This window comes from Homo sapiens, chromosome 2 (assembly GCF_000001405.40).
Source record: "Homo sapiens chromosome 2, GRCh38.p14 Primary Assembly".
In the NCBI taxonomy this organism is placed as follows: domain Eukaryota; kingdom Metazoa; phylum Chordata; class Mammalia; order Primates; family Hominidae; genus Homo; species Homo sapiens.
Genome location: NC_000002.12, coordinates 27,402,761 through 27,425,489, shown reverse-complemented (window position 1 = coordinate 27,425,489; position 22,729 = coordinate 27,402,761). Strand labels below are relative to the sequence as shown.

Below are 22,729 nucleotides of genomic sequence, written 5' to 3'. Positions count from 1 at the left end.
CTGCACCCAGCCTTTTTTTTTTTTAAGACAGGAATCTCACTCCGTCACCCAGGCTGGAGTGTGGTGACTCAGTCTCGGCTAACTGCCACCTCCACCTCCCAGGTTCAAGCGATTCTCGTGCCTCAGCCTCCCAAGTAGCTGGGACTACAGGCATGTGCCACCATGCCCGACTAATTTTTATATTTTTAGTAGAGAGAGAGTTTTACCATGTTGCCGAGGCTGGTCTTGAACTTCTGAACTCGGGCAATCCGCCCGCCTTGGCCTACCAAAGTGCTAGGATTACAGGTGTGAACCACCGTGCCCGACCCTTTACTGGTTAATTTTTAACCAGCAGAATATTCCACTGTCCAAATATGCCAGCATTTAATTAGTAACTACCTGTGGACATTGGGATAACATTCATCATTTATTATTATAAATAAAGCAGCAATGAGCATTTAGCTACATATATCTTTTTTTTTTTTTTTTTTTTTTTTTTTTTTTGTGAGATGGAGTCTCACTCTGTTACCCAGGCTAGAGTTCAGTGGCACAATCTTGGCTCATTGCAACCTCTGCCTCCCAGGTTCAGGCGACTCTACTACCTCAGCCTCCTGAGTAGCTGGGATTACAAGCATGTGCCACCATCCCTGGCTGTATTTTTAGTAGAGATGGGGCATGGTGGCACACGCCTGTAATCCCAGCTACTCGGGAGGCTGAGGCAGGAGAATGGCGTGAACCCAGGAGGTGGAGCTTGCAGTGAGCCGAGATTGGGCCACTGCACTCCAGCCTGGGTGACAGAGCGAGACTGTCTCAAAAAAATTTTTAAAAAAAGGCACCTGGCCACGGTGGTTCATGCCTGTAATCCCAGTACTTTGGGAGGCCAAGGTGGAATGATCACTTGAACCCAGGAGTTTGAGACCAGCCCGGGCAACATAGTGCGACCCTGTCTCTATAAAAGAATTTTTTTGGCCGGGTGCGGTGGCTCACACCTGTAATCCCAGCACTTTGGGAGGCCGAGGCGGAAAGATCACGAGATCAGGAGATCGAGACCATCCTGGCTAATACAGTGAAAACCTGTCTCTACTAAAACCAAAAAAATTAGCTGGGCGTGGTGGCGGGCACCTGTAGTCCCAGCTACTCAGGAGGCTGAGGCAGGAGAATGGCGTCAACCCTGGAGGTGGAGGTTGCGGTGAGCTGAGATTGCGCCACTGCACTCCAGCCTGGGTGACAGAGTGAGACCGTCTCAAAAAAAAAAAAAAAAGAATTTTTTTTTGTAATTAGCCAGGCATGGTGGCATGCCCCTATAGTTCCAGCTACTTAGTAGGTTGAGGCAGGAGGATCGCTTTAGCCTAGGAGGTCAAGGTTGTGGTGAGCCGTGATTGTGCCACTACACTCCAGCCTCTGTAACAGAGCAAGAAACTCTGGTATAGAGAGAACAATGGATATAACTTTGGGTACGTTAATAGGAAGAGGAATAGAAAGTAAAGATAGAGGAGAAAAATTAAGATAATTTTTCTTAATTTAAGAAACAGAGAGAAATGAAATAAATCAGTATTATGAAAAGGAAGTGAGTAGAAAATTTTAAGAAAGAGCTGTTCAGTAATCCCGAATGCTGAAGTGATCATGGAGAATTAAGAATAAAAAAGAGCTTTGCAGTAGAAACTTATAATAAATTGAGAGTAAAATTCCAGTAGCGAGAGGATGAAATTAACATTGTAGGAGATTGGGAAGACAATAGAATTTTTCTGATGTACAAAGAGCCCTTACAAGCCAGAAAGAAAAAAAATGATCAACTCAGTAAAGAAATAAACAAAAAAACTTGAATAGGCAAGAAATTGAAGAGGAAATACAACTGGGCAATAAACATAGGAAAAGATGTTTAGCTTCACCTATAATTAAATAAGTGCAAATTAAAACAGGATATCTTTTTTTAATTAATGTATCATCAAAATTAAAAAGATTGATGTTACTTGGGCCAGGCATGGTGACTCATGACTGTAATCCCAGCACTTTGGGAGGCCGAGGCAGGCAGATCACGAGGTCAGGAGATTGAGACCATCCTGGCTAACACAGTGAAACCCTGTCTCTACTAAAAATACAAAAATTACCTGGGTGTGGTGGCACACGCCTGTAGTACCAGCTACTCGGGAGGCTGAGGCAGGAGAATCACTTAAACCCAGTGAACCTGGGAGGCGGAGGTTGCAGTGAGCTGAGATCGCACCATTGCCCTCCAGCCTGGGTGACAGAGCAAGAGTCTGTCTCAAAATAAATAAATAAATAAATAAATAAATAAATAAACAAATATTGGTATTACTCAGTGTTGGTAAGGATGCAGGGGAAGAGGAACCCTAACATACTCTGGGTGGTATATTTTTGAAAAGCAACTTGGCAATATCTATTCAAATTTAAGATGTTCTTAGCCTTTTAAATTTTTTATTTATTTATTTTTGAGGATTCTCCATACTGTTGTCCCTAATGGTAGTACCAATTTACATTCCCACCAATAGTGTACGAGAAGGGTTCTCTTTTCTCTTTTCCCCACATCCTCACCAATACTTGTTATATTTTGTCTTTTTTTATAACAGCCATTCTAACAGGTGTGAGGTGATATCTTACTGTGATTTTGATTTGCATTTCCCTGATTATTAGAGTACTTTTTTCATATACCCGTTAGCCATTTGTATATCTTCTTTTGAGAAATGTCTATTCAGGTACTTTGCCCCCCGGCCTTTTTTTTTTTTTTTTTTTTTTTTTTTTTGAGACAGAGTTTCACCCCTGTTGCCCAGGCCAGAGTGCAATGGTGCAGTCTTGGCTCACTGCACTGCAACCTCCGCCTACCGGGTTCAAGCAGTTCTGCTGCCTCAGCCTCCCAAGTGGCTGGGATTACAGGCACCTGCCACCACGCCTGGGTAATTTTGTATTTTTTGTAGAGACAGGTTTTCACCTTGTTGGTCAGGCTGATCTGAAACTCCTGACCTCAGGTGACCCGCCCACCTTGGCCTCCCAAAGTGCTGGGATTACAGGCGTGAGCCACTGCGCCCGGTCACACCAGGCTAATTTTTGTATTTTTAGTAGAGACAGGGTTTCTCCATGTTGGTCAGGCTGGTCTCAAACTCCCAACCTCAGGTGATCCTCCCACCTCAGCCTCCCAAAGTGCTGTGATTACAGGCCTGAGCCACTGCGCCCAGCCATATTTTTTGTATTTTTAGTACAGACAGAGTTTCACCATGTTGGCCAGGCTGGTCTGGAACTCCTGACCTCAGGTGATCCACCCACCTTGGTCTCTCAAAGTGCTGGGATTACAGGCATGAGCCACCGTGCCCAGCCTGTTTTTCTTGCTATTGAGTTGTTTGAGTTTCTTATATATTTTGGATATTAACATTAGCCCTTATCAGATGCATAGTTTGCAAATATATTCTCCCATTCCATAGTCTGTCTCTTCGCTCTGTCGATAGTTTCCATTGTTGTTGTTGTTTGATGCAATCTCACTTGTCTATTTTTGAGACTACTCATTTCTATTTGTTCTAAGTCTGAGCTTCCCTGGTGACCTGCTAACCTAATTTCCCATGTGGACTATAACTTGCATTGTGACATGCCAGTTGCAGAACTCTGTAAATTTACTGAAAGTCATTAAATTCACAATGAGTGAGGTTTGTTTGTTTTTTTCTTTAGAGACAGGGTCTTGCTCTGTTGCCCAGGCTGAAGTGCAGTGGTGTGATCATAGCTCATTCCAGCCTCAAACTCCTGGGCTCAGGCAATCCTTCCACCTCAGCCTCCCAAAAGTGCTAGGATTACAGGTTTGAGTTGCCGCACCCATACTCCAATAAAACTGTCTAGAATCTTTGAAGGTCTTAGTTCCCACAGATCAGGGCAATTGGAAAACCTATTGGGTTTCTGCTCTAAGTTTTGTTTTTTTTTTTCTCAATGTGAGGCTTGCAAGCCATGCCTTCAATCTAATCATTTCTCTAGGGATGTGGTGTGGATCCTTTCTTCCAAAAGAGCCTTTTTTCAAACTGAAGGCCAAATAAAAATTGCATTTACATTTCTGTATGATTTCAAACTAAATAAGAGAAGCCTAGATTTCTTGATAATTGTGAATTAGCTGAGGTGTTTTAAAACACACATCTCCAGGACCCTCCCTGGATCAGCTGAATATGATTCTTGGGGTCAGGGAGACTTGAGTTTCTGCATGGCTAAGAATTTTTCCAGGTGATTCTGATACAGATAGCCTGTCATTAGGCTGAAGGATAGTAACCATAACCCTAGCTCACACCTTATCCTTGTCTTGGAATGATGCCTTGGGGCATTGCCTCATACCTTAGGCCTCTGAGCTTCATTTTAAAAGTTATTAAATGGGAACATTATTTGGCTGTATACCTGTAAGTCCTATCATAAGGAACTGAGTCAACTTCTAAGATAAACAAATACATAAATAGGGCCACTGAGAAATAAAAAGACAAACATAGCCCAATTAAATCTTAATTCAGCTGAGATTATTTGATTTCCACAATTGTGTTCAATTATGTTCAAATCAAATTCATGTATTATTTATTTTGCCCTTTTTTTTGTTTGTTTTTGAGACAGTCTCGCCCTGTTGCCCAGGCTGAAGTGCAGTGGCCCAATCTCGGCTCACTGCAACCTCTGCCTCCCAGTTCAAGCTATTCTTGTGCCTCAGCCTCCTGAGTAGCTTCGACTACAGGTGCGTGCCACAATGCCCGGCTAATTTTTGTATTTTCAGTAGAGACTGGGTTTCGCCATGTTGGCCAGGCTGGCCTCGAACTTCTGGCCTCAAGGGATCCACCCCTGTCGGCCTCCCAAAGTGCTGGGATTACAGGTGTTAGCCACCTCGCCTGGCCGTGTTGTTGTTGTTTTGTTGTTGTTGTTGAGATGGAGTCTTGTTCTGTCACCCAGGCTGGAGTGCAGTGGCATGATCTTGGCTCACTGCAACCTCCTCCTCCCAGGTTCAAGCAATTCTTCTGCCTCAGCCTCCCGAGTAGCTGGGATTACGGGCACCCGCCAGCATGCCCGGCTAATTTTTGTATTTTTACAAAATTACAGGCATGAGCCACTGCACTGGGACTTAAATTAAAATTTTTGATAATCCAGGAGATTACCCTGGATTATCAGGGTTGGCTCTAAATGTGATCACAAGTATCCATGTAAGAGGAAGGCAGAGGGAGGGTATGAATACAGAAAAGGAAATATGACCACAGAAGCAGGGTGGAGTGATGGCAACGAATACAGGCAGCCTCTAGAAGCTAGAAAAGGCAAGGAGCCGGATGCGGTGGCTCATGCCTGTAGTCCTAGCACTTTGGGAGGCCGAGGTGGGTGGATCACCTGAGGTCAGGAGTTCAAAACCAGTCTGACCAATATGGTGAAACCCCGTCTCTACTAAAAATACGAAACTTAGCTGGGTGGGCACCTGTAATCCCAGCTACTTGGGCAGCTGAGGCAGGAGAATCGCTTGAACCTGGGAGGCAGAGGTTACAGTGAGCCGAGATCGCACGCCACTGCACTCAGTCTGGGCAACAGAGTGAGACTCCGTCTCAAAAAAAGAAAAGGCAAGGAAACAGATTCTCCCCTAGATCCCCCAGAAGGCACTAGTGCTGCCAACACCTTAACTTTATACCAGCGAAACTAATTTCAGATATCTGTCCTCTGGAATTGTAAAATAATAAACGTGTGGCACTTTATATCACCAAGTTTATGGTAATGCGTTACAACAGTCATAGGAAACTAATACATACGGTTTCCCAAAGAACAAAGTTGATCTGTCTGAGCTGCGTTCTAAATGATAAATAGGAATTCAACAAGCAGTTAAGGAAGTGAAGAAAAGTCCAGTGAAGACTCTCCAGTATTGGAAGTCAGGAACTTGGACCATAAAACCTATGGTTTTCCACTCCAAGTTTTGTGAAGATGTCTCACTTTTTAGCAATAATAGTTGAAAATTTCGAACCTGGGTGTGGGTTTCCTTTCTTTTGCCTTACCTCCAGTTTTGCAGTTTGAAATTTAATCTTTTTTAAAAAATAAAATTTATTGTCTAGGCGCGGTGGCTCACGCCTGTAATCCCAGCGCTTTGGGAGGCCGAGGCGGGCGAATCACTTGAGGTCAGAAGTTCGAGACCAGCCTGGCCAACATGGAGAAACCCCATCTCTACTAAAAATACAAATATTAGCCAGGCGTGATGGCACGCGCCTGTAATCTCAGCTACTCAGGAGGCTGAGGCAGTAGAATCACTTGAACCCGGGAGGCGGAGGTTGCAGTGAGCCAAGATCGTGCCACTGCCCTCCAGCCTGGGCGACAGAGTGAGACTCTGTCTCAAATAAACAAACAAACAAACAAACAAATAAAATGTATTACGTCTTGGAGGGAAGAGAGGAGACTTTCCAGAGAGAAATTCTTCTTTTTTTCTTTTTTTTTCTCAGACCTCTCAGGGATGAAAAGGAGAACATTCTTCAGGAAATAAATGAGAAAACTAGAGAGATAATCAGATCACTGATACTTGTTAATTGTTGGAGCAGGTTTGGAGAGAGAGTGACAAAGATCTCGCCAAAAACAAGTAAAGAAATTCCTTGCCTGATTTGTTTGGTATTAAGAGAAACAAAATAATAAAAAGAACTCTAAGTTTGGTATGACTAACAAAAGAATAAGTTAATTCACACAGAATGCAGCACAAAAACTCGGGATATATAGATATAGTTAAAAGATGGGGAGGCCAGGCACAGTGGCTCACTCCTGTAATCCTAACACTTTGGGAGGCCCAGGCAGGCGAATGCCTGAGCTCAGGAGTTCGAGACCAGCCTGGGCAACATGGTAAAACCCCGTCTCTAGTAAAAATACAAAAATTATCTGGGCGTGGTGGCATGCGCCTATAGTCCCAGCTACTTGGGAGGCTGAGACAGGAGAATCACTTGAATCTGGGAGGCAGCGGTTGCAGTGAGCCAAGATTGCGCCATTGCACTCCAGCCTGGGCAACAGAGCGAGACTCCATCTCAAAAAATAAATAAATTAAAAAAAAAAAAAACCCGTACATGGATCTCCTAAGAACAAATAAGGATTTTTTTTTTTTTTTTTGAAATGGAATCTGGCTCTGTCTCCCAGGCTGGAGGGCAGTGGCGCAATCTCGGCTCACTGCAAGCTCCGCCTCCCGGGTTCACGCCATTCTCCTGCCTCAGCCTCCCCAGCAGCTGGGACTACAGGCACACGCCGCCACGCCTGGCTAATTTTTGTATTTTTAGTAGAGACGGAGTTTCTCTGTGTTAGCCAGGGTGGTATCGATCTCCTGACCTCATGATCTGCCTGCCTCAGCCTCCCAAAGTGCTGGGATTACAGGCGTGAGCCACCGCACCCGGCCGAACAAATAAGGATTTTAAGAGACAGTTCACTCTATATCCTTACTGAAAAGAAAATATGATCTCTCCCTGCCCCCCCACCCCCCACTGGAAGGACACAATCCTGCTAAAGACACAATTATTATTATTATTATTTTGAGACAGGGTCTTGCTCTGTCACCCAGGTTGGAGTGCACTGGTGCAACCACACCTCACTGCAGCCTCAACCTCCCAGGCTCAAGCAATCCTCCTACCTCAGCCTCCCACAGTGCTGGGATTACAAGCATAAGCCACCAAGCCCAGTCACAATTGATTTTATTTTATTTTTTGCGACAGTCTCGCTCTGTCACACAGGCTGGAGTGTAGTGGCACGATCTCGGCTAACTGCAACCTCTGCCTCCCAGTTTCAAGAGATTCTCCTGCCTTGGCCTCCGGAGTAGCTGGCATTACAGGCGCTCGCCACCATGCCCAGCTAATTTTTTTGTATTTTTAGTAGAGATGGTTTTCGCCATGTTGCCCAGGCTGGTCTCAAGCTCCTAAGCTCAGGCAATCCGCCCGCCTCAGCCTCCTAAAGTGTTAAGATTATGGGCGTGAGCCACCATACCCAACCCACAATTTATATTATTAATAAAAAGATAAACCCCAGCATATCAGTCTGAAAGACCTGAATTTTGGTTAATGGTCCTTTTGTGACTTTCTTTAGGATAGAGATAGGTATTTCTTTTATATGTGTCTAAAGGGCCCATTCTAGTGATTTCCATGAGTATAGGCAGATTGCTTCAAGATTAATTTATGTCTTGCCTTCTAGAAATAGAAAAGTACAGCTGTAAAACATAACACTTTTTTGACTTAAAAAAATAGTTTCATTTATTGGGCACTTGTTCTGCGTTCCTTTAGGGGACGGTCAGTCAGGTGCAGCCAAGAGGAGACACGGGAGAGGCACAATAAAACAAAATTTATTACACTCACAGGTTTTAGAAAGAGGGCCATTATATGCCACACAAGGTCACAGGGGAAATGCCAAGTTTGGGTCAGGTAGCAGAAGACAGTAACAAGGAGAAAGTATAGACCAGAACTTTTTCTCTGTCTCACTTTTGTTGCCCAAGATGGAGTGCAATGACACAATCTCAGCTCACTGCAACCTCCGCCTCCCAGGTTCAAGCGATTCTCCTGCCTCAGACCCCTAAGTAATTGGGATTACAGGCATGTGCCCCCACACCTGGCTTATTTTTCTGTATTTAGTAGAGACAGGGTTTCACCATGTTTGTCAGGCTGTTCTCAAACTCCTGACCTCAGGTGATCCATGTGCTTCGGCCTCCCATAGTGTTGGGATTACAAAGATGAGCCACTGCGCCCAACCTAGGCCAGAACTTTTTTTTTTTTTGAGGCAGAGTCTCGCTCTGTCACCCAGGCTGGAGTGCAGCGGCACGATCTTGGCTCACTGCAACCTCCGCCTCTCAGGTTTAAGCAATTCTCCCGCCTCAGCCTCCTGAGTAGCTGGGATTACAAGTGTGCGCCACCATGCCCGGCTAATTTTTTGTATTTTTAGTAGAGACAGGGTTTCGCCATGTTGGCCAGGCTGGTCTCGAACTCCTGACCTCGTGATCCGCCCGCCTAGGCCTCCCAAAGTGCTGGGATTACAGGCGTGAGCCACTGCGCCTGGCCTAGGCCAGAACTTTTGTTGGGGTTTCTAAGGGTAAGGCAAGGCAGGGCAAAGAGTTTAGGGTTGGCTAGTTTGAATAACTCCTGCAGGCTGTAAACTTTAGGGATGGTCCCTAATTGCCTGCGATGATTAAGGCAAAAGAATATTGCTTCTTGTGATGTACAGGCCAGATAGGGGAGGTATAGCGCTGGACTGGTCAGTTTATGTATCAAAGGAATGTTTTGGCTGGGCGTGGTGGCTCACACCTATAATCCCAGCACTTTGGGAGGCCTAGGCAGGTGGATCACTTGAGGTCAGGAGTTTGAGACCAGCCTGGACAATATGGTGAAACTCCAGTCTCTACTAAAAATACAAAAATTAGCCGGGTGTGGTGGCCTGTGCCTGTAGTCTCAGCTACTCAGGAGGCCGAAGCATGAGAATTGCTTGAACCCAGGAGGCGGAGGTTGCAGCGAGCCAAGATGGCACCACTGCATTCCAGCCTGTGTGACAGAGCAAGACTCCATCTCAAAAAAAAAAAAAAGTCCTTTGCTATCTCTAATTGGTTAGCATTGGAAGGGCAGTCTCTCCCAGCCAGAAAGGATTTTATAAGATGTCAAAATATGGGCCGGGTGCAGTGGCTCACACCTGTAATCCCAGCTCTTTGGGAGGCCGAAGCAGGCGGATCACCTGAGGTCAGGAGTTCAAGACCAGCCTGGCCAACATGGTGAAACCAAGTCTCTACTAAAAAATACAAAAATTAGCCGGGCGTGTTGGCGGGCGCCTGTAATTCCAGCTTCTCAGGAGGCTGAGGCAGGGAGAATTGGTTGAACCCAGAGGAGGAGGTTGCAGTGAGCCAAGATCGTGCCACTGCACTCCAGCCTCAGCGACAGAGCGAGACTCCAACTCAAAAAGAAAAGAAAAGATGTCAAAATATGGCCCGGCACCGTGGCTCACGCCTGTAATCCCAACACTTTGGGAGGCCGAGGTGGGCGGATCACGAGGATCAGAAGATCCAGACCATCCTGGCTAACACAATGAAAACCTGCCTCCACTAAAATTACAAAAAAAAAAGATGGGTGTGGTGGCACACACCTGTAGTCACAGCTACTTGGGAGGCTGAGGTAGGAGAATCACTTGAACCTGGGAGGTGGAGGTCGCAGTGAGCCGAGATCGCGCCACTGCACTCCAGCCTGGGTGACAGAGTGAGACTTTGTCTCAAAAAAAAAAAAAAAAAAGTCAAGATATTATCATCTACAGAAAATATATATATAAATTAATGAGTATAAAGGGGAGTAAGAACTAGCCCAGAATCCCAGAAATAGACTCTCCCTCTTCGTTTTTAGTACCTTCAAAATATTTGAATTCCTTCTTTCTTAGCCCTAAATCTTGTCCCTGAGATTATTTTTTTCCTCTCTGGATCAATCTTTCACCTTTAATCACAACCAAGAAGGAATATGGTATCAAAACTGCTTAGTTTTTAAAGGTATCATTTCATGAATAGTATAATATTGATGTATATGAATCACATGTATATGAAGAAAGGGTCAAAAACAATGAGATCCAGGCACAGCAGCATGCACCTACTCAGGAGGCTGAGGTGGGAGGATTGTCTGAGCCCAGGAGTTTGAGGCCAACCTGGGTAACATAGGAAGACAACATAAATTTATAATATTTAATATAAATACAAGCATATTGGCATATTTTGGATGATCTAGATTAACACTTTTTTGAGTGATCTTCAGTTCACATTCAAATTTACAATTGAACTGATGTCACATTATACTCTAAAGTTAGAGCATTTAATATATATATATATATTTTTTTGAGATGGAGTCTTGCTCTGTGGCCCAGGCTGGAGTGTAATGGCGGGATCTCAGCTCACTGCAACCTCCGCCTCCCAGGTTCAAGCGATTCTCCTGCCTCAGCCTCCCAAGTAGCTGGGATTACAGGCGCCTGCCTCCACGCCCACCTAATTTTTGTATTTTTAGTAGAGGCAGAGTTTCACCATATTGGCCAGGCTGGTGTCGAACTCCTGACCTCAGATGATCCGGCCGCCTCAGCCTTCCAAAGTGCTGGGGTTACAAGTGTGAGCCACCACGCCCATCCACATTTAACCTTTAAGGCAATGTCTCCCAGGCTGGCAACATTCCCAGAGATCTATAATTACATGCCTCAGGGTTCATAATTTCTTTTTTTTTTTTTTTTTTGAGACGGAGTTTTGCACTGTCACCCAGACTGGAGTGCAGTGGCGCAATCTCGGCTCACTGCAACTTCTGCCTCCCAGATTCAAGTGATTCTCCTGCCTCAGCCTCCCAAGTAGCTGGAATTACAGGCATGTTGCCACCATACCCTGCTAATTTTGTAGTTCTAGTAGAGACAGGGTTTCTTTTTTTTTTCTGAGACAAAGTCTCGCTCTGTTGCCCAGGCTGGAGTGCCATGGCACGATCTCAGCTCACTGCAACCACTGCCTCCTGGGTTGAAGCGATTCTCCTGCCCCAACCTCCCAAGTAGCTGGGATTACAGGTGTGTGTCACCACGCCCAGCTGATTTTTGTATTTTTAGTAGAGACGGGGTTTCACCACGTTGGTCAGGCTGATCTCGAACTCCTGACCTCGTGATCTGCCCGCCTCAGCCTCCCAAAGTGCCGGGATTACAGGCGTGAACCACCGTGCCCGGCCAGACGGGGTTTCACCATACTGGTCAAGCTGGTCTTGAACTCTTGACCTCAGGTGATCCACCCACCTCAGTCTCTCAAAGTGCTGGGATTACATGTGTGAGCCACCATGCCTGCCATAAAAACCCTTTTTTCATGTGGACTAACACCTCAAGTACATGTTCAGGAGCTGGCTCTATTACCATGTCTGATTAGCCAGATTTTTGCAGCTCATACTTTAAAGACAGACTCAGCATTATCAATCGATCTATGAATATAGTATTGCGTTTTGGGTGTTTTTTTTTTTTTTTTTTTTTTTTTTAGACAGAGTCTTGCTCTGTCACCCAGGCTGGAGTACAGTGGCGCGATCTCGGCTCACTGCAAGCTCCGCCTCCTGGGTTCATGCCATTCTCCTGCCTCAGCCTCCCGAATAGCTGGGACTACAGGCGCCCACCATCACGCCCGGCTAATTTTTTGTATTTTTTAGTAGAGACAGGGCTTCACCATGTTAGCCAGGATGGTCTCGATCTCCTGACCTCGTGATCCACCCGCCTCGGCCTCCCAAAGTGCTGGGATTACAGGCGTGAGCCACTGCGCCCGGCCTTTTTTTAAAATTTTTTTTCTTTCTCCCTTCTAGTCAAAGCATGAAACCTTTACGTCACTGGAAATATACTGTAGTGACTTTGAGGGGAATAGGATGGTGAGGGGATAATCTTCATACTCTTTCTCCTTTTTCACCTCTTTCCATGATCCCCCTTAGTATCTATCTCCCCTCTCTGTAACATTATTGCTCTCCCAGTGCGTTACTTTTTCCTTGAGTCATATTGTGTGTGTGCGTGTGTGTGTTTATATAGTATTTTTAGTAGAGAGAGGGTTTCACCATGTTGGCCAGGCTGGTCTCGGACTATTGACCTTAAGTGATCCGCCTGCCTCAGCCTCCCAAAGTGCTGGGATTACGGGCGTGAGCCACTGTGCCCAGCCTCGAGTTATATTTTCTTTTCCACTTTTTTTCTTGTCTGTTTTTTTCCCATTTATTTTCAGGCCACCTCCTATTTTTTGTGAACACAATTAAATGTGGCTTCCATTCCATATTTAGCGTGTATGTATGGACACTTAAACAGCAGTCTTTTGTTGAATAATATACAACATTTATGGATAACTCAGCACTTTACATTCAATTCCTCTTATCCTTAAAGCAGTCTTGAAGAGTAGATGCTGTATGTCTGTCTTGCAGATGAACTTAGCCTAAGAGGGAATAAGTAACTTGTGAAAGATCTCATAGGTAATATGTGGCAAAATTCATGCTCTTTAAACAATGTCACATTCCATTCTTAGGAAAAAACAAAGTCCAAAAAGAAAAAAAAAAAGAAAGAAAAAAAAGAAGGCGGGCATAGTGGCACATGTCTGTGGTCCTGGCTATTTGGGAGGCTAAAGTGGAAGGATTGCTTGAGCCCAGAAGTTCAAGACCAGCCTCAGCAACATAGCAAGACCTCATTTCTTAGAAGAAGGAGGAAGAGGAGGAGCAGAAGGAGAAGAAAGAAGAGGCTGAGTAATTTTTGTTGTTGCTGTTTTGTTCATTTGTTTGTTTTTTGAGACAGGGTCTCACTCTGTCGCCCAGGCTGGAGTGCAGTGACACCATCTCAGCTCACTGCAACCAAGGCTGAGTAATTTTATATGCTCCCTCTACACTGCTTTGGTCAGAGATCTCATCTAGGTTCCTGGCAACCTGCAAGCCTAATTAACATCTTTTCCACTTTCATGGCTTAACTCCAATCTAATATTTTCAATGTTTTTATATTAGTTGTCACCCTAAACTGAACCACTGTTTTCCCCCCAAAACTAGCATCCCCTCAAACTGCACCTTTTTCTGTTAATGGCTCCACCACATTTTGTTATGCAGAGTCAAAATCTTGGTGTTATTCATTCATTCAACAAATATTTAAATATTATTCAGCACATACAACTTTGCAAGGGATGCTGGAAAACACAATGGTAAGTTTAATGGAACTTCTGCCTTCATAAAGGCTTATATTCTATCAGGAAAGACAAACAAGTGTGGACCCAAACTAGTATAGTGATAGTAGAGATTTCCTGGAGAAAGTGATGGTCAAGAGGGGTGTGGAGAGGTGTGCTCCATGGGTAAAAGTGTAAGAGAAAGCATGGCTTTAGATGCACCCAAAGACATTGCTGAAGCAGAGTTGTAGGAGAAATGGAGAGTTAAAGAGAGGCATACGTGAATCTGGATGATTAGCATGAAGGGTCTTGTAAACTATAAGGAATTTGGACTATCGGAAGAGCATGAAGAAGCCATGATTAGTTTTATCTTTTTAAAGAATCTTTTTTTTTTTTTTGAGACGGAGTTGCTCTGTCACCCAGGGTGGAGTGCAGTGGCGCCATCTTGGTTCACTGCAACCTCCGCCTCTGGGGTTCAAGCTATTCGCCTGCCTTAGCCTCCCAAGTAGCTGGGATTACAGGAGCGCACCACTACGCCTGGCTAATTTTTGTATTTTTAGTAGAGACGGGTTTCACATGTTGGCCAGGCTGGTCTCGAACTTCTGGCCTCAAGTGATCCACCACCCCCCCTTGGCCTCCCAAAGTGCTGGGATTACAAGTGTGAGCCACTGTGCCCGGCTGAAAAGAATCAATTTTGTCATAGTTTGGAGAATTTCTCCTTTTCTCTCCATCCCTTGAATGCAATTTATTACCAAATCTGTCTTATTTGTTATTGTCTAATTTGTCCTTTCATCTGGATTCCCATTGCCACCCTGCGTGGTACCACCTTACTCCCAGCTCTTCTCATCTCCTGCTTAGAGTAAGAGCTCTCTAACTAGTAGCAGTGCCCCAGGCCAGGCGCGGTGGCTCACGCCTGTAATCCCAGCACTTTGGGAGGCTGAGGCGGGTAGATCACGAGGTCAGGAGTTCGAGACCAGCCTGGCCAACATGGTGAAACCCCGTCTCTACTAAAAATACAAAAATTAGCCAGGCGTGGAATCCTAGCTACTCGGGAGGCTGAGGCAGGAGAATCGCTTGAACCTGGGAGGCGGAGGTTGCAGTGAGCCAAGATAGCGCCACTGCACTGCAGCCTGGGCAACAAGAGCGAAACTCTGTCTTAAAAAAAAAACAATAGTAGGCGGGGTGCGGTGGCTCACGCCTGTAATCCCAACACTTTGGGAGGCCGAGGCGGGCGGATCACGAGGTCAGGAGATGGAGACCATCCTGGCTAACACGGTGAAACCTCGTCTCTACTAAAAATACAAAAAATTAGCCAGGCGTGGTGGCGGGCGCCTGTAGTCCCAGCTACTCGGGAGGCTGAGGCAGGAGAATGGCGTGAACCCGGGAGGCGGAGCTTGTAGCCTGGGCGACAGAGCGAGACTCTGTCTCAAAAACAAACAAAAAACAACAACACAACAGTGCCCCAGACTCTCTCCCTCCAATGTACACTGCATACAAAGACTAGACAAACGATGCCAAAGGTTACACCAGGACGACAATGAAGTCCAAGTCACTCATCTTGGCGCTTCTTTTTATCAAGCTAGCTAGTTAATATTACCACTTACAATCATTCTCCGAGTCCAGCCAGCTTCCTCAGAAATCCTCCCCAAATGCAGTTCACATTCTTCCCTCACTCCTCCAAACCTTATAACATTATTCCCTTTTCCTGTGGCATAATGCAATCCAGAGGCATCCTCTCTGAGAGCCTACATCCTTTCAATCCTCCAAGAAACAGCTCCTCCTCCCATCCTTGAGCTTTTCCCACCCAGAATAGGCTGTACCAAACATTTCTACATTGTATTAACTCGAATTATATCACAGATCGAGGTCTTCGCTTTCAGAAAAGACTCACATTCTTCTCATATAGGCCTCGCATGGCCTGGCCAAGTACTTCCTAAGCTCGGAACAAATACTGGTCAACTTTAATTGAACCAAATCGGGCGGGGTTTGCGGAGTCTGAGAGTGCAACGTTGGGGAGAGGGGGATGAAAACACTGGAGGACGGGCTGAAAGCGTCGAGTCCGACACAAAAGAGGCGTCAGACAAAACGCCAAGAGGCTGGGGACTGGGAACGAAGGAAGAGGTTCTGCCAGAGGCGACCTGCCACCTGCGCGAGGAAGCGGAGTAGGACGGCGGCCGTTGGTGGGCGTGGTCGCGCTAGTCTCGCGGGAGCGGCCGTTGGGCGGGCCGTTGTCCCTGCGGGCGGGGCGAGTTGCTAAGGAAATGACTGCCCGCAGCGCCTGGCCCCGCCGCGCAGGCCGGGCGGGGTCTGGAGCGGCGCCGTTTCCGCTTCCGCTCCCTCACAGCTCCCGTCCCGTTACCGCCTCCTGGCCGGCCTCGCGCCTTTCACCGGCACCTTGCGTCGGTCGCGCCGCGGGGCCTGCTCCTGCCGCGCGCACCCCCGGGGCTTCGGCTCCGGCACGGGTCGCGCCCAGCTTTCCTGCACCTGAGGCCGCCGGCCAGCCGCCGCCATGGGTGCCTACCTCTCCCAGCCCAACACGGTGAAGTGCTCCGGGGACGGGGTCGGCGCCCCGCGCCTGCCGCTGCCCTACGGCTTCTCCGCCATGCAAGGCTGGCGCGTCTCCATGGAGGTGAGGAGGCAGGGGCCCATAGGCTGGCCGCTGCGGGGCGGGAATCTGACGGAGAAAGAGAGCGGGGGATGGGGTCCTCCCCTGGGAAGGGTCCCAATTGGGAGCCTGCGGCCGCAGCGGCCGTTTGCGGGGCGACAGAGACCGCGGGGTCAGGGCCGAGAGGGAGCTCCCGATGCTTGGGGACCGTGTGCCGGTGGCCAGTGGCGGCGAGGGCTCGGCCATGTGGGAAGAGGCACCTTCCGCCCACTGACCGCCCTCTCCCCGAGCTTTGGCGCCATCCTCTCGTGCCAACCTAGCCCTCCAGGCTCATCAACGGTGTGAGGTTTAGTGTGGGAGTAAAGACGCAAATAGGGGCTATTTATTCATTTGTTTTTCAAGGGAGAGGTGAATAGATGTGAATAACTTTTTAAATTTTAATATTTAAAATATCTGATGTGGGAAGCCTCTTTTGGCTAGGAGTTTGACAGTGAAAGGAACCCCGGGCAGAGTCTGTTTCACATTTTGGTTGCCTGGCCTTGGGCTCTTGCATGTTAATTTCAGAGGCTGGACCCGACCTCCAGGAGTTGTCACTCATTTGCACTCTTTTCAGGGCCTTTTACTAACTTCGGAAAACTTGAATTATGTCAGTCCCTAGGTTTTCCTTTTTATTATGCTTCGTTTTCTTTCTCTCTTAGGATTTCTCTAAAACTTAATCAGTAATTCTCATTTGCCTGTAATTGTAGTTTATAGTTTCTTTGATTGTAAGTCATTTCATCAATTTTTTTCATCACAACCTACCTACAAAGGGCTTTTCTAGAAAATTTTACTCTGGACAAAAGGGGAAAAGAAAAATATTGGGGGGAAAGTAGTAGTATTAGGTAAAACTTGATGTGAAACTACAAAAGAGAAGAGGGAAAACTGCGGTAGGGAGGAAAGGGAGGAAGACGGGTTAACCGTGGCTTTGTGAAGAGCATTCTGAAGTCTAGGCAAAAGGGCCAGGGAAATACTCTGTCTGGTATTGAGGGTTTCTCCACCTACCGGGTGGGCTTCAGGTAACAGCGAAATACTGTCTCCCTTGGGAATTGTTTCAGATCCCTCGCTCCTCCCTGTGGTTAGCTCTGGAATGACAGTATGAACTTAAATGTTTTGTTTTCCGATTCAAATTTTATATTCATAACTGACCTTAATAACAATTTTATAATTAGGTATAAAATTTCAGGATTGGAGTGTATCCTATAGTTCATCTCATCTGCTTTGGCTCCCTTTTTTTTTTTTTGAGACAGAATTTCGCTCTTGTTGCCCAGGCTGGAATGCAATGGCGCGATCTCGGCTCACCGCAACCTCCGCCTCCCAGGTTCGAGCAATTCTCCTGCCTCAGCCTCCCTAGTAGTTGGGATTACAGGCATGTGCCACCACGCCTGGCTTATTTTGTATTTTTAGTAGAGACAGGGTTTCTTCATGTGGGTCAGGCTGGTGTTGAACTCCTGACTTAGGTGATCTGCCTGCCTCGGTCTCCCAAAGTGCTAGGATTACAGGCATGAACCACCACACCCTGCGGCTCCCACATTTTATAGCTAAGAAATTGAGGCCCAGAAAGGTTAGGACACTGTTTTGGTGGAAAGAATTTGTAGGATCAGATCGTTGAAGACACTAGACATTGTTAATCATCTATGTCAAACTGAAGCATAGCATTCATATTTCACCACCATACACAGTATAACTATTTGGTAGATGTAATTGTCTATTAGAAATATCTAGGCTGGGCGCAGTGGCTCACGTCTGTAATCCCAGCATTTTGGGAGGCCGAGGCAGGCAGATCACCTGAGCTCAGGAGTTCGAGACCAGCCTGGGCAACATGGCAAAAACCCTGTCTCTACAAAAAATACAAAAAAATTAGCTGGGCATGGTGGCACCCACCTGTAGTCCCAGTTACTTGGGAGGCTGAGATAGAAAATCACTTTGAGCCTGAGAGGCAGAGCCTTCATTGAGCCAAGATCGCCCCTCTGCACTCCAATCTGGGTGACAGAGCGAGACGCTGTCTCAAAAAATAAATGAATAGGCCAGGCATGGTGGCTCATGCCTGTAATCCTAACACTTTGGGAGGCTGCGGCGGGCGGATTGCCTGAGCTTAGGAGTTCGAGACCAGCCTGGACAACATGAAGAAACCCCGTCTTTATTAAAATACAAAAAATTAGCTGAATGTGGTGGTGCGTGCCTATAATCATAGCTACTTGGAAGGCTGAGGCAGGAGAATCGCTTGAATCCCAGAGGCGGAGGTTGCAGTGAGCCAAGATCGTGCCACTGTACTCCAGCCTGGGCGACAGAGTGAGACACTGTCTCAAAAAAAAAAAAAAAAAGAATAAATAAATAAATCTGGGTATAGTTTCGTAGGAAAGTCTTTTTGTAAAGTAGGTAGTCAAGAAGTTCCATTTCCATGGCATTTTCTGTTAACGTTGTGAGATTTGAGGTGAATATTCCATCTCGCAGTAAAACGTTTCTTCCAGGTTTCTCATTTAATATTTTTCACTTCTCTGCTGTTGTTTTTTCATTTCTTTGGTACCCTTCTTTCTACTTTTACTTACGGATTGAGTTGCTTGGCTACTCAGTGTTTCACGTTGGTTTGCCCAGTGATTCCATACTATTTGCTGCTTCTCTGTAGGGCATTTCCCTTTATTTTTGGTTTCTCCTCAATTAGAAAATGATTTTTTTTGTCAGGGACGGTTTAGTGTGTAGAGATCTTACTAGACTATTCCTTACATCCTAATCTTCCTCCTGAGAGATAACTGCTTAGGGTATTAAAATCTTGCTAATGTGCTGTTTCTGAAGTTGCCCTTGTTTGAATAAATATGCCTAATCAATAGTTAAATATGCCTAATCAAATCCTCTTGAAGAGTATTGTTTGGGATCCTATTCTGCTTCATTGATAGTGTTCCTTCTGGCTTTTTTTCTCTTCAAAGTGTAGCATAGTTTCTTTGCTATTGCAAGAAAATAACTATGAGTTCTAGCCTCTTCCCTGAATCTTATCTTTCCAGAAAATATAAAGTACTCCCATTCCTCTGAAGCTTTAGGGCTTAATCCAAAAATTAATAAAGTTTATTTACCCTATTTGCTTGGTCCTAATGCTTCATTTGAGGTAAGGTTATCATACCACTAAAGGTTGTTGACATGCTGACTGATGGATAGATTTAGCCGTAGAGAGGACTCTTGAGACAAAAATGGCAATCATCAATAGCTGGCATTTTTACTTTCTGCCTGTTTCAAGCTTCTCTTCCTGTGTGACCAGGGTGTTGTTGTTGTTTGTTTTGTTTTGTTTTGTTTTTGAGACGGAGTTTCTATCTTGTTGCCCAGGCTGGAGTACAATGGCATGATCTCGGCTCACTGCAACCTCCGCCTCCCGGGTTCAAGCGATTCTCCTGCCTCAGCCTCCTGAGTAGCTGGGATTACAGGCATGTGCCACCACGCCTGGCTAATTTTGTATTTTTAGTAGAGATGGGGGTCTCTCCATGTTGGTCAGGCTGGTCTCGAACTTCTGACCTCAGGTGATCGGCCCGCCTCTGCCTCCCAAAATGCTGTGAGCCACCATGCCCAGCAACCAGGGTGTTTTGAGAAAAGGTAATCAAAATACCACAGGCCAGTCGTGGTGGCTTAACGCCTGTAATCCCAGCAGTTTGGGAGGCCGAGGGGGGCAGATCACCTGAGGTCAGTTCGAGACCAGCCTAGTCAACATGGTGAAACCCCGTCTCTACTGAAAATACAAAAATTAGCCAGAGGCCAGAGAATTGCTTGAATAGGAAGGCCAGTGAGCCGAGATCTCACCGCTGCACTCTAGCCAGGGTGACAGACTCCGTCTCAAAAAAACAAACAAAAAAACCACCACAGTTGATGTTCTCCTCCTTCCTCCTTTCTCCATGAAAAAAGTGGATGAGGTATGTACTTTGGGATTAAGAGGTAGGCACTGGGCACGGTGGCTCATGCCTGTAATCCCAGCACTTTGGGAGGCCGAGGTGGGCGGATCACGAGATCAAGAGACCGAGATCATTCTGGCCAATATGGTGAAACCCTGTCTCTTCTAAAATACAAGAATTAGCTGGGCATGGTGGCGCACGCCTGTAGTCCCAGCTACTCCGGAGGCTGAGGCAGGAGAATCGCTTGAACCTGGGAGGCGGAGGTTGCAGTGAGCCGAGATCGCACCACTGCACTCCAGCCTGGGCGACAGGGTGAGACTCCATCTTAAAAAAAAAAAAAAAAAAATGAGGTAGGTTGTGGAGGGGTGCCTGAAAAATTATAAGGTAAGGCCCTTGAGTTTTTGTTGGCTAAATAAGAAGTCAAATCTGAAAATAGATTCAGTTGATGTAGTCTTTTTTTTTTTTTTTTTTCTCCGAGACGGAGTCTTGCACTGTTGCCCAGGCTGGAGTATAATGGCATGATCTTGGCTCACTGCAACCTCTGCCTCCTGAGTTCAAGCGATTCTCCTGCCTCAGCTTCCCGAGTAGCTGGGATTACAGGCGCCTGCCACCATGCCCGGCTAATTTTTTGTATTTTCAATAGAGACAGGGTTTCACTATGTTGGCCGGGTTGGTCTCCAACTCCTGACCTCTTAATCCGCCCGCCTCGGCCTCCCAAAGTGCTGGCATTACAGGCGTGAGCCACCATGCCTGGCCCATCAGTTGATGTAGTCTTAAGGGGACAAGAGTACATTTAATATTTGGTTGTGAGGTTCTCTGGAAGTGACAAAACTGCTTTCTATGGAGAGTTAGGAATTTTTTTTTTTTTTGAAACGGAGTCTCGCATTGTCACCCGGGCTGGAGTGTAGTGGCTTGATCTCGGCTCACTGAAACTTCCGCCTCTTGGGTTCAAGTGATTCTCCTGCCTCAGCCTTCCAAATAGCTGGGATTACAGGAGTCTGCCACCAGGCCAGCTAATTTTTTTTTGTATTTTTAGTGGAGACAGGATTTCACTATGTTGGCCAGGCTGGTCTCAAGACTCCTGACGTTGTGATCCACCTGCCTCGGCCTCCCAAAGTGCTGGGATTACAGATGTGAGCTACCGTGCCCGGCCAGGAATTTTTTGTGCTATAAATCATATTTTCCTTTTATTAAAGGCAGTGTCAATATCTATAGTATAATTTTGAGGAGGCTGGCTATTTATTGCTGTGTAGAAGCTGGCTTATTAGTGGTCAAGGGGTCATCTAGAATTGACTATAAAGATAGTATTGAGCAGAAAATTCTTAAAATACCTGCATATTTGTTTCAGTCATTAAATTAATGGAAAAAATATAAAAAGAAATATCACAAGTATGCTATGGGGTTCTACCTTAGGGCATTGAAGGTTGAAAAACATTTATTTTCTTATCTTCAGATTAGCATCTCATATCAATAGCCAATAGCTTAAAGCGCTTTTTACTTACTAAACCAGGTCAGAATTTCTCTCTCTCTCTCTTTTTTTTTTTTAGACAGAGTCTCTGTCACCCAGTCTAGAGTGCAGTGGTGTGATCTCGGCTCACTGGCCTTTCTGTTTAAGTGATTCTCCGGCCTCAGCCTCCTGAGTAGCTGGGATTACAGGCATGTGCCACGACACTTGGCTTATTTTTTGTATTTTTAGTAGAGATGGGGTTTCTCTGTGTTGGTCAGGCAGGTCTTGAACTCCTGACCTCAGGTGATCTGCCCGCCTCCGCCTCCCAAAGTGCTGGGATTACAGACGTGAGCTACTGCGCCTGGCCAGAATTTCTTTGTCTAGAATGTGGTTAGCAACTTTTATAAAAACGCATTATTTGCATTTGATTAGCATGCAGTACCCATTCACAGTTCAAAGCTAGTATAGAATTATATCACATGTATGCCCATGAGCATGGAGAAACTATTTTCTTTTTATTTTTTTAAGTTGGAGTTTTGCTCTTGTTGCCCAGGCTGGAGTGCAATGGTGCCATCTCGGCTCACTGCAGCTTCTGCCTCCTGGGTTCTAGCAATTTGCCTACCCCAGCCTCCCAAGTAGCTGGGATTACAGGCACTCGCCACCATGCCCAGCTAACTTTTTTGTATTTTTAGTAGAGAAGGGGTTTTCCCATGCTGGCGAGTCTGGTCTTGAACTTCTGGCCTCAAGTGATCTGCCCGCCTCAGCCTCCCAAAGTGCTGGAATTACAGGCATGAGCCACTGTGCCCGGCCTTTTTATTTTTTAAATTATTTATGTATTTATTTTGAGACAGGATCTCACTCTTGCCCATGCTTGAGTGGTAAGGAGTATGGGATTTCTTGTGCCGGTTCCTTCACATCCTCACTACACTTATCTGCCTTTACAGTGGCTCGATCATAGTTCACTGCATAGCCTTCTGGGCTCAAGGGGTCTTCCAGCCTCAGCCTAATATAGGCACATGCCACCATGACTGGCTAATTTTTTTTTTTTAAGTTTTTTTTTGTAGAGATAGGGCCTTGCAGTGTTGCCCAGGCTGAGGAATTTTATTTATGTTTATTTTATTTATTTATTTATTTATTTATTTATTTATTTATTTATTTATTTATTGAGATGGAGTCTTACACTGTCACCCAGGCTGGAGTGCAGTTGCGCG

The 22,729-nt window shown here is 45.9% G+C and overlaps 1 protein-coding gene across 1 annotated transcript in view, besides 4 other annotated features; it reads left to right on the top strand.

The window, feature by feature from the left end:
* Positions 15,729 to 15,918: a silencer, noted in NCBI's record as "silent region_11301". NCBI's record gives its function as "represses an Ori minimal core promoter by ATAC-STARR-seq in GM12878 lymphoblastoid cells {active_cell/tissue: GM12878}" and the evidence as "EXISTENCE:reporter gene assay evidence [ECO:0000049][PMID:35858748]".
* PPM1G (protein phosphatase, Mg2+/Mn2+ dependent 1G) overlaps positions 15,899 to 22,729 on the top strand; it is a 28,393-nt gene continuing 21,562 nt past the window's right edge. Inside the window, exon 1 of the mRNA NM_177983.3 lies at positions 15,899 to 16,187. Within this exon, the coding sequence (NP_817092.1) occupies positions 16,068 to 16,187 (120 nt within the window). The 5' untranslated portion in view covers positions 15,899 to 16,067. The remainder of the gene's footprint in view (positions 16,188 to 22,729) is intronic.
* Positions 16,009 to 16,198: a silencer, noted in NCBI's record as "silent region_11300". NCBI's record gives its function as "represses an Ori minimal core promoter by ATAC-STARR-seq in GM12878 lymphoblastoid cells {active_cell/tissue: GM12878}" and the evidence as "EXISTENCE:reporter gene assay evidence [ECO:0000049][PMID:35858748]".
* Positions 16,269 to 16,318: a silencer, noted in NCBI's record as "silent region_11299". NCBI's record gives its function as "represses an Ori minimal core promoter by ATAC-STARR-seq in GM12878 lymphoblastoid cells {active_cell/tissue: GM12878}" and the evidence as "EXISTENCE:reporter gene assay evidence [ECO:0000049][PMID:35858748]".
* Positions 16,339 to 16,418: a silencer, noted in NCBI's record as "silent region_11298". NCBI's record gives its function as "represses an Ori minimal core promoter by ATAC-STARR-seq in GM12878 lymphoblastoid cells {active_cell/tissue: GM12878}" and the evidence as "EXISTENCE:reporter gene assay evidence [ECO:0000049][PMID:35858748]".